This window comes from Homo sapiens, chromosome 10 (genome assembly GCF_000001405.40).
Source record: "Homo sapiens chromosome 10, GRCh38.p14 Primary Assembly".
Classification (NCBI taxonomy): domain Eukaryota; kingdom Metazoa; phylum Chordata; class Mammalia; order Primates; family Hominidae; genus Homo; species Homo sapiens.
The window spans coordinates 79971611-79983461 of NC_000010.11; the positions used below are offsets into that span (position 1 = coordinate 79971611).

General features: G+C 46.1%; 1 protein-coding gene and 2 pseudogenes across 1 annotated transcript in view; 1 reads left to right on the forward strand and 2 right to left on the reverse strand.

The window, feature by feature from the left end:
• Positions 1-10773, reverse strand: part of SFTPD (surfactant protein D) — a 44644-nt gene extending 33871 nt beyond the window's left edge. Inside the window, exon 1 of the mRNA XM_011540087.2 lies at positions 10608-10773. The gene's annotated coding sequence lies outside the window, so the exon portion shown is untranslated. The remainder of the gene's footprint in view (positions 1-10607) is intronic.
• On the forward strand, positions 9860-11008 carry ZNRF2P3 (zinc and ring finger 2 pseudogene 3; annotated as a pseudogene).
• DPY19L2P5 (DPY19L2 pseudogene 5) lies at positions 11300-11630 on the reverse strand (annotated as a pseudogene).

Consider the following 11851-nt stretch of genomic DNA (forward strand, 5'->3'; position numbering starts at 1 on the left):
CATTTCCATTAGGCTTTCCAATTTATTGGCATATAGTTGCTCATAATAGTCTTTAATGACCTCTTCTATTTCTATGGTATCAATTGTAATGTCCCTGTTCATTTGCGGGAATGCTCTTATATGTGACTTTATGCTTTTCTCTTGCTGTTTTTAGATTCCCTCTTTGTCTTTGAATTTGATAGTTTGAATATAATGAGCCTTGGAATTGACCGTTTTGGGTTGAATCTATTTGGAAATGTTTGACCTTCATGTACCTGGATGTCTATATCTCTTGCAAGACTTAAGAAGTTTTTAGCTATTATTTTGTTTAATAGGTTTTCTATGCCTTTGTTCATCTTTTTTCCTTCTGGAATCCATAGGAAGATGACCCTCCACCTCCCAAACTCCCTTTCAATGAGGATTAATTTCAGACCCTGTTTGACATGCTGCAAAGCTCACCAGGGCATCATCTTTAGGAGAAAGGTATCAGTCTTATTACACCAATTCAGGCCTCCTCTCTTGGATGCAAAGTTAGTATAATGCAAAGGATGGGGGAACAAGAAACACAATAAATTGGAGAGCAAAACTAAGGCAAGAAGAAGCCACAGGCACTTTAAAACACAAAGAGGGCTGGGCACTGTGGCTCACACCTGTAATCCCAGACCTTTGGGAGGCCAAGGCAGGCGGGTCACAAGGTCAGGAGTTCAAGACCAGCCTGACCAACATAGTGAAACCCCGTCTCTACTAAAAATACAAAAAATTAGCCAGGCATGGTGGTGGGCACCTGTAATCCCAGCTACTCAGGAGGCTGAGGCAGGAGAATCACTTGAACCCAGGAGGCGGAGGTTGCAGTGAGCAGAGATCACACCACTGCACTCCAGCCTGGGCGACAGTGTGAGACTCTGTCTCAAAACACACACACAGACACACACACACACACACACACACGGAGCATTTTGACTCAGTCCTGTGGATAGCACCTAACTTCCATCCTCACTTCATGACCTAGATAATTGTTTCTAAGCTCCATATTGCCCCTAGAGAAAGCATGGGAACCAGGCTGTGAATGATTTCCCTGAATCCTGAATAACAAAAACATTTTCATGGCAAATATGATCTCCTCTCCATGACCATCACTTCCTTGGAAGTCTGTACCACGTACAAACTGGAACCAAACCAAGGTAATGAGAAAAGGTGAAAAGGGGACTTGTCCAGACTTTTCTCCCTTTTGGCAAGTTCAAAAGTCAAACCTGAAGGCGGGCAAATGGGCAGAACATGGGAGGATGCTAGATTTTCTCATCCTGTGAATTCATGACAAGGAGTTTTTATCCTAGCTCTGAGAGTTCCAAATGGGAACTGGAAGTTACTTCACTCTCCATCTCTCAAGGATTGACTCAATGAGCTTATATCCATCCATAATACTGAGCTGTTATCATGTGTGAGTTTCCCTTTAAACATTGAAACAGAAAGAAAATGACAGTAAAAGTTACAATAGCCCCTCCATGAAATCATTAAACAAAGTCTATGAACATTAATATTCCCACTTTGTTAGCATTTTTGTTAGTATTAACATGCATATCATGAAGCTTCCCTTTTTATTATAAATAAATTGTACATCAAGTTCAAGCCTCTTGGTTGTGTTTCTTCATTTGTGTTTTTTCTTTTCTATTTTTGTAACTTCCAAGGATACATCATGGATCTTCAAGCTGTAGGGGAGTTTCCACTGGTACATTAAAAATATCTTTGAAGGCCAGGCGCAGTGGCTTACATCTGTAATCCCAGCACTTTGGGAGGCCGAGGCAGGTGAATCACAATGTCAGGAGTTCAAGACCAGCCTGGCCAACATGGTGAAACCCCATCTCTACTAAAAATACAAAAATTAGCCAGGCGCAGTGATGGGTGCCTGTAATCCCAGCTACTCAGGAGGCTTAGGCAGGAGAACTGCTTGAACCTGGGAGGGAGAATTTGCAGTGAGCCGGGATCCCGCCACTGCACTCCAGCCTAGGCGACAGAGCAAGACTCTGTCTCAAAAAAAAAAAAAAAAAAAAGTCTTAGAAAACGAAATGTTAATTTCCTTGTGTTATTTTATCAATATACCCTCTGTCCCATCTTTTTTACAATTCCATTAGTCCTTTGCATTGTCTCCTTTCATATATACATGTGAGAGCAAGGACAGGGTACCCAGCTCTAGTTCATAGCTTGCATCTACAAAGGTGCCAGTCTGGAATAACACCACAGTGTCATGCAGTGAACTTCTTGGGATGACTCTGGATGCATTATGCCAAAGGGTTTCTTTGGTTTGTGTATGCAGAGCACAAGTGCCAGAAAATTCTAAACTCATTTTTTACTGGTGGATTACTCCAAGTAGAGGATACTTTTCCACATAATGCTGATTACGTTAACTGTGAAATTAGGATCTCTGTGTGTTTCACAGACAGACAGACACACACCCACACACACACAAATAGTAGCATCACAGATTCCCCTTAAATAAGCTGAAAAATTTATTTGACAGCATTAGGACTATGCCGTTAGTTGTTTTATTCTCAATTATACCCCCAGATATTTTTTATTTTTATTTATTTATTTTTTTTCTGAGACAGAGTCTTGCGCTGTTGCCCAGGCTGCAGTGCAGTGGCACGATCTCGGCTCACTGCAAGCTCTGCCTCCTGAGTTGACGCCATTCTCCTGCCTCCGCCTCCCGAGTAGCTGGGACTACAGGCACCTGCCACCACGCCCAGCTAATTTTTTTTTGTATTTTTAGTAGAGACGGGGTTTCTCGATCTCCTGACCTCATGATCTGCCCGCCTCAGCCTCCCAAAGTTTTGGGATTACAGGTGTGAGCCACCACACCCAGCCACCCCCAGATATTTTTTATATGCCATCAGAGATGAGACAGTCTAGTATTTCTAGTCATGCCTATATTTTCAAGAGTGATGTGATCATAGTTCTCTGGTTCATTAAAAAAATCTGATATTGGCCAATTTTAAGATACATACAAAATATATCTCTATGTATATATACCTCTCCATCTATCTCTAAATGCATATAAAGTGTATCTCTCTGTGTCTATATCTACTTCAACAATCCCGTCACCTCTCCTCATCACACCCTTCTATTCTTGTTTGTATATATACAGATGTGCCTACAGCTAATGTTGAAAGAGGAGGAGTCTTTTCTTTGGCAGAAATGCCGAGACCAGCTCGGTCAGGGAGACCTCTAACCCAGCAGTGCTAGAGGAATTAAACATACACACACAGAAATATAGAGGTGTAAAGTGGGAAATCAGGGGTCTCACAGCCTTCAGAGCATTAATTAGCATTGTTTCTATAGACATTCGATTAACTAAAAGTATCCCTTATGGGAAACAAAGGGATGGGCCGAAATAAAGGGGTGGATCTGGCTACTCTGAGTAATTTAAAAGGAAAGGGCTCAAATGTAGCTATAATATTTCCCTGTTGATCTGGGGGGGTGTATTCCAACAGGGAATCACCAAGCCTCTAAATCACTCTCTCATCTAGCTTGCTGAATTCCTGCCTGACTAGAACTAAGAGCAGTCGCTCTAGGTGCTGCTCGAACAGTCACTGGGGCAACTACTTTTTGCCCAGTGTCCTCCGGAAAAGAAAGATCTGGAAGGTCATTTTCTTCAAAATAATAAGGAGGGGGTGCAGAAGGGTAGGGATGAACCTCTCCCTCCTTTGCCACTTTAGCTTCAGCTGGTAAATAAAACTGCTCTGTAACCTCTTCTGTTACTTTGTTATACTCTCCTTCCTCCTCCTCATCAGTGTGAAAAAGTTCCTAGGTGGAATGAACCAGACCCCACACTTGTCCCATTGTTACCCTGATGCTTCCAAGCTCCCCTTCTTACTCACCACGGGGATTGCTTTAAGAGTACTCAGGTGTCCTCCAGCTTAGTTCCACATTCTCCAACTGTTGCTCCGGCGACCCTTCGACCTGGATTTGAGTCCCCATGATGGACACCACTTGCTGAGACCAGCTCAGTCGGGGAGACCCTAACCCAGCGGCACTAGAGGAATTAAACCCACACACACAGAAACAGAATTGTAAAGTGGGAAATCAGGGGTCTCACAGCCTTCAGAGCTGAGAGCCCTGAACAGAGATTTAACCACGTATTTATTAACAGCAAGCCAGTCATTAGCATTGTTTGTATAGATATTCGATTAACTAAAAGTATCCTTTATGGGAAAGGAAGGCATGGGCCCAAATAAAGAGGTGGGTCTGGCTAGTCATCTGCAGCAGGAACATGCCCTTAAAGCACAGATTGCTCATGCTATTGTTTGTGGCTTAAGAATGCCTTTAAGCGGTTTTCCACCCTGGGTGGGCCAGGTGTTCCTTGCCCTCATTCCAGTAAACCCACAACCTTCCAGCGTGGGTGTTATGGTTATCATGAACATGTTACAGTGCTGCAGAGATTTTGTTTATGGCCAGTTTTGGGGCCAGTTTATGGCCAGATTTTGGGGGGCCTGTTCCCAACACAGAAGTGGTGGGCTATACCTTGTGAAACAAGAGTTCTGGATACAGTGGCCTTAAGAAAAACAAGTTTCTCTTTTGGCAAAAGAATCAAAGTGATGGCCTTTGGTTCTGAAAGGAAAGAGTGACTCCAGTAGCATGAGGACTTTAAGATTTGGGGAAACTTGAATTGCCAAAGGCAATAAATGGTGCTGAAAGCTGGAGTTCAGCTGGTTTTGTGGTCCTGGTCAGCCAGCCCAAAGAAGCCTGAGATCCAGGCTTGCACAGTGGATCCTATCCCATCACCTGACAGCCTGTGCAAAAACACATCTGCATGCTCCCAGAAGTCCCTGGCTACTGAGTCAATCATATCTACTGCTCTGGGAAACCACAGAGTTTGGGAGGGTGAGTGATAAAATGGCTGTTGAAGGAAGTCTGGTGCCAGAAGAGTGATGGCACCACCACTGCCACTGCTGCCAGAGTCCAAGTCCAGGCTGGAAAAAAAGGGCTTTTCTCAGTAAAGCCATCTGCACCTAAAGGGAAAAACCCTGAGGATTCAACAAGAGCATAATGAAGCTTTCCACCTCCCCCTTCTGAGAACTGGGGACAAGAAGTCTTCAAAACCAAGTTATGGGACTAGCAGGCCACTTCTAGTTCAAGTGGCATGGGTCATTGGGTGCTGCCTGGCAACCATCCTCTCAGAGTGGGTGATATGGTTTGGCTGTGTCCCCACCCAAATCTCAAGTTGAATTGTATCTCCCAGAATTCCCACATGTTGTGGGAGGGACCCAGGAGGAGGTAATTGAATCATGAGGGCTGGTCTTTCCCATGGTTTTCTCATGATAGTGTATAAGTCTCATGAGATCTGGTGGATTTATCAAGGGTTTCTGCTTTTCCTTCTTCCTCATTTTCTCTTGATGGCAGCCATGTAAGAAGTGCCTTTCTCCTCCCACCATAATTCTGAGGCCTCCCCAGACACGTGGAACTGTAAATCCAATTAAGCCTCTTTTTCTTCCCAGTCTTGCATATGTCTTTATCAGCAGCATGAAAACAGACTAATACAGTGGGGAAGAAACTATAGGTGTGAGACGTGGCCATTTCACCTCTGGAGCCAAACTCAGCTTAGTTCCTGGCTGGGTGCCAAGGATTTATTCTTTAGCAAAAGTCTCTGCAATTAGTGACCCTCAATCAAGATCTTTTTACCCTGTGGAATCCCTCCCAACCACAGGACTCACTGTATTGGTGCTCTGCTCACAAACAAGCCCCAGCTGAAACCTGAGGCCAGAGAGCAACCTACTAGCTGTGAAGAATCCTAGAGTTCCACAGGACATTACTTCTATTAATACTCATAATGTTTCATTTAGTTCAAGCAAGCAGCTTTTCTGATACTCAATCATAAACAAACAACAACAACACACACATACACACACACAGTGCTCACACATGCACAAAGCAACATTGTAATCTATTTGATGTATCTAGTTTCACAGGTAATCAGTCTCATTTACAAATCAATCTGGCTAGTTTTTCTTGTCCTCATGGTAATATAAGGAACTTGTGTTTTTCAGGTATCTGTGGTGAAAGAGCCCTCTTGCCAGCTGGAATTATTTAAATGTAGCAATTTTCATCCAGTCATTGCTTTACAACACAGATGTGATATCCACAGCCTACTAAGGAGTTGTTACAGATTTTTTTCCATTTATACATGAAGTAGGTCTTCAGATTTACTTCTTTTTTTTCCTTTCTTTTCCACCTTTCTTTCTTCCTCTCTTTCTTTCATTATCTTCAATTTTGAGGAAAGTTTTATTTTTCAGTAAAGAGATCTTGCATGATACCTCACATCTTTCATTTAACCTGTTCTCCAGCACCACCCTTCTCCCAGCTTATTAAGCAGTGCAATCTTTGTCTGAGTTCAAGAATTTCTTGACTTACCCTGACAGTAGCACTCAAGAACAGGTGAGCCTAACCACTTGCAGTCTGTTTACCTTTTCTTTAAAGTGAAAAGGAGGATGTCCCATTTTTTGCCTTTTGGTTTTTATCAGATGATATAGCTTTGCCATAATTTGTAGTTACAGTAGATTAGTTACCATCTGTCCAAGATGCAATGCTGTTTGGTATAATCTATGGGACCTAACATAGGGGTGCAAGGATGGTTCAACACATGCAAATCAACAAATGTAATACATCACAACAATAGTGTGAAGGAAATATCCATGTGATCATCTCAATAGATGCAGAAAAAGTATTTGATAAAATTAAACATTCTTTCATCATAAGAGATATTACATTCATCACAACAAATTAGGCATATGCTGGGTGCAGTGGCTCATGCCTGTAATCCTAGCACTTTGGGAGGCCAACGTGGGTGGATCACTTGAGTTCAGGAGTTCAACACCAGCATGGGCAACATGATGAAACCCCATCTCTACAAAAATTACAAAAATTAGCCAGGTGTGGTGGCACATGCCTGTAGTCTCAGCTACTTGGGAGGCTGAGGTGGGAGGATCACTTGTGCCTGGGAGGTTGAGGCTGCAGTGAGTCAAGATTGTGCCACTGCACTCTAGCCTGGGCAGCAGAGTGACACCCTGTCTCAAAAAAAAAAAAAAAAAAAAAAAAAAGGTATAGAATGAATGTACCTCAACAAAATAAAGGCCTTATATGACAAATCTACAGGTAACATCATTCTCAATGGTGAAATTCTAAAATGTTTTCCTTGAAGATTAGAAACAAGACAAGGATGTACACTCTTGTTACTTCTATTTATCAAAATACTGGAAATCCTAGCCAGCTCAATTAGGCAATAAAAAGAAAGAAAAGGCACCCAAATGAAAGAAAGAAAGAAAGAAAGAAGTAAAATTGTCTGTCTGCAGATTACATTATCTTATATTTAAACCCTAAAGACTCCACCAAAAAACTGTTAGAATAAATAAATTCGGTAAAGTTTCAGGATACAAAACCAAAGTGCAAAAATCGGTTGCAATTTAAATACTATCAACAAACTATCAGAAACAAAAATTAAGAAAACAATCTTAAATAGCATCAAAATGTTAAACTATCTAAAAATATCATGAGAAAACATAAACCAGAAAATAAAAAATAAATAAAATATCTAGGAATAAATTTAACCAAGCAGGTGAATGATCTGTACACTGAAAAACAATAAAACATTGATAAAAAATTGAATCAGGAAGCAGAGCAAGATGGCCAGAGCCCTCCAATGATCATTCCCCATGCCCTGCAGGAACACCAACCTGGACAACTATCCGCACAAAAAAACACCTTCATAAGAACCAAAAATCAGGTGAGCAATCACAGTACATGGTTTTAACGTCATATCAAGGACAGAGGCAGTGAAGAGGGAAGGAAAGAGTCTTGAATTGCCTACACTACCCCCATTCACTGGCAGCATCAAGTGGTATGAGAGAGATCTGTGTACTTGGGAGAGAGAGAGCAAAGTGATTATGGAACTTTGCATTGGAATGCTGTCACAGCAGAAAGCAACACAGGACACAGTTCAGCCAGCACTCACAGAGGAAGCATTTAGACCAGCCCTAGCCAAAGAGGAATTGTCCATTCCAGGGGTCAGAATCTGGATAGACCCACCACCATGGGATGAAGTACTCTGGGATCCTAAATAAACTTGAAAGGCAGTCTAGACACAAGGACTGAAATTCCTGGGCAAGTCCCTATGCTAGCTGGGCTCAGAGCCAGTGGACTTGCTTGAGGTGTAGGTGACCCAGTGAGATATCACCTGGAGTGGCCAAGAAAGTGCTTGCCTCACTCCTCCCCGCCAACTCCAGGCAGTGCAGCTCACAAATGTGGGAGAAAAAAGAGTAAAGGGGACTTTGTCTTGCAACTTGAATACCAGCTCAGCCACAGTAAAATAAAGCACCAAGCAGAGTCCTGAAGCCCCAATTCTAAGCCATAGCTCCCAGATGAAATTTCTAGACTCATCTTGGGCCTGAAGAAAACCCACTGCCCTCAAGGAAAGAAGCCAGTCCTTGCAGAATTCACCCCCTGCTAACTAAAGAGCCCTTGGGCCCTGAATAAACATCAGTGGTAACCAGGCAGTAAGTACCATGGATTTTGGATGAGACTCAGTACCTTGCTGGCATCATGTGCAACCCAGCACATTCCCAGCTCTGGTGGCCACAGGGAGGGACTCCTGCTTGAGGAAAGGAAAGGGAAAAGTAAAAAGGACTTTGTCTTGTAACTTGGGTACCAGCTCAGTCTCGGTAAAATAAAGCATCAAGCAGATTCCTAAAATCCCCAATCCCAGGCCCTAGCTCCGAGATGGCATTTATAGACTCACCCTGAGACAGAAGGTAAATTGCTGCACTGAAGAGAAAAATTCAGTCCTGGCCAGGATTCATCACCTGCTGACTACAGAGCCCTTGAACATTGAATAAACATCAGTGGTAGCCAGGAAATTGTCACCAGAGGCCTTAGGTGGGACCCAGTACTGTGCTGGCTTCAGGTGTGACCCAGCACAATCCCAGCAGTGATGGCTATGGGAGTGCTTGTGTCACCCCTTCCTCAACTCCAGGCACCTCAGCATGGAGAGAAAGACTTTGTCTGTTTGGGAGAAGGTATGGGAAGAGAACAAGAGACTGTCTGGTAATCCAGGGACTTCTCTCAGATTTCACCCAAGACCACTAAGGTGATACTTTTATGGGTCTGCAAGAGTCACAGCATTACTGAGTTTGGGGTTCCCCCTATTGTGTATTTGGCTGCAGTGACCAAATAATTCGATTACGACGCTCATTTCCCTTTGAATACTTGAAAAGCCTTCTCAAGAAGGACAAGTACAAACCAGCCCACACTGAAAAGATTAAATACCTAACTCTTTAATGCCCAGACACTGGCAAATATCCACAAGCATCAAGACCACCAAGGAGAACATGACCTCACCAAACTAAATAAGGCATCAGTGACCAACTCCAGAGTTAGAGAGATATGTGACCTTTTACACAGAGAATTCAAAATAGCTGTTTTAAGAAATCTCAATGAAATCCAAGGTAATACAGAGAGGGAATTCAGAATCCTGTTAAATATATTTAACAAAAAGATTGAAGTAATTTAAAAGAATCGAGCAGAGATTCTGCAGCTGAAAAATTCAATTGACACACTGAAGAATGCATTAGAGTCTCTCAACAGCAGAATTAACCAAGCAGAAGAAAGAATTAGTCAGCTTGAAGACAGGCTATTTGAAAATACACAGGGGAGTCAAAAGAAAAAAGAAAATAATGAAATTTATAAAATAGCTTCAAAAAGGCAAATATAAGTTATTGGTCTTAAAGTGGAGGTAGAGAGGGAAATCAGAGTAAAAAGTTTATTCAAGGAGATAATAACAGATAACTTCCCAAACCTAGAGAAAAATATCAATATTCAAGTGTAAGAAACCTATATAGGCCGGGCGGCGTGAGGGCTGGGGAACCTCCTCCCCGCCTGGGCACCCCGACCTTCGCGGCCCAGATCCTCCCGCCAGCCCAGCCCAGGGGGAGCGAGGCGACGGTTGCCGGGAAGCGCGCAGCACCCCTCCCTCCCATTCTTCGTCCTCCCCTGGCGCACCGCCCGTTTTTCCTCTTTCTCCGTTAAAAACAACTGGGTGGCTGTGGGAAGAGGGAAGGTGGCGCCGGCGGAGTCTGGGCAGGCGCCTCCCACTCAGCCGCCAGCAGCCCTGGGAGCCGGAGGATGGCTGCGGTAGCAGCCACAGCCCCAGAGGAGGCGGTGCCCGACGCCCGGGGCGCCCAGCGCGCCCAGACCGGCAGTGGCCTTCATGGCGCACCAGAACCTAAACCAGAGGCAGCCACACGGACACCTGAGCCGCCTCTTCCTGCTAGAGCCAGCGAGGTGTGCCCGCAGCCGAGACCCCTTCCTCTCCACGTCTCCTCGTCTCCTTGTCTCCCGTGCCCGCGTCAGGCCGCCAGCCTCGCCCACCTCCCCAGGAAGAGCGCGCCGGGCGCCGACTTCCCCTGGGGCGGCGGCCCTGGACGTGCGGGGGGTCTCTCTGGGCCGGCTGCTGCGCCTTGGCCCTGCCCTCTAGCTCCCGCGCTCGCTCCCGCCCTCCTGGCTCTCCGGGCGCGCCTGGCGGGGCAGGGCGGACATGGGCACCAAGCAGAGGAGCCGCACGCGCACGTACTGGGGCTCGGATCTACCTTCCAGTAGCAACGGAGGAGCCAATGGGACCGCGGGCGGCGGCGGGGGCGCTCGGGCCACCGCGGGGCGGTTCCCGGCTCAGGTGCCCAGTGGGCACCAGCCCAGCGCCTCGGGCGGCGCTGCTGCGAAGGCCCTGGCAGCCCCGCGCAGCCGCTCCCGCGGCGGGGCCGTGGGGAGCGTGGCTTTGGGGGCCCGCGCAGCGCAGTCCTCCTTCAGCATGCCGAACAGTAGCAGCGGCCTATAGGGCTTACAGGACTCGGTGCACAGCAGCGCTGAGGAAGGTGGCGCGGCCGGTCCAGGCCGGTGGGCGGGAGCCCCGCCATGCAATGCCTGGTGATCAGCACCTTCCAGCTCACCTCTTGCCGCCCATGTTTGGAGGTGCTGAGAAACATGTCTGTTCTTCAAGAGCCAGCTAATCATTTTTACCAAGTATGATAATTAGCTGCCCTGATTCAGATACCATTTCCTTATTGTGACATAGGGGTGACTACTGTCAGAAAACCCTGAAAATGTTTTAAAACAAGAACTAATGGAGCTTGGCGATTCTTGCCACGCTTTTCCAGAGCTCGGACCTTGCTATTATTTGCTACTGGGCACCCACAAACCCTTGCTTATTAAACTGATCTCCTTCAAGACTCAAGAAAAGCGCCATGCGGCTCCCTCCTAGGGCTCTCCTGCCCTCTCCACACCAAAGCCCAGAGTGGTCTTCCTGGAGAACTGAGGCGCCTGCAGTTTGTGCACCTTTTCCTGGAGCTGCGCCAGGAAATTATGTAACAACTGGAAGCAGCCCAGAAGGGTCTTGGCAATCACGTCCAGCTGCAAGCCATTTGGAGGTCTCAGATTGCGCACCTCCTCCCGCCCCCTGGCAGGTTCCCTCTGCCTAGGGTCCAAAGCTACAGAGGCAGCCCGGACTCTTCCACCTCCTCCTCCATCTCTGGCTCCCTGGCTTGGGAGGCCCCTCAGCTTCAACTGGCTGGGGCGGGAAGATTGAAATGGCTGTGGAGCCGCTGCTTTTGAGCTTACTCCTCGTTTGCCCAACTATTTTCTCATAGTTCCTGTTCTGGTGGAGCTGGGTCAATTTCCCACGCAGCCCAGCCCAGTAGGGCGAGGTCTGGAAAGGCCTCACTGGCCTCGCAGCCTCAACTACTTGTACCGGCCACCGCAGCGGCTGCGGACCTCCCAGTCGTCATGGCGACTGTGAAATGTGGGGTGGAGGGCGTGCAGTCAAACCATTTCGCCCGGG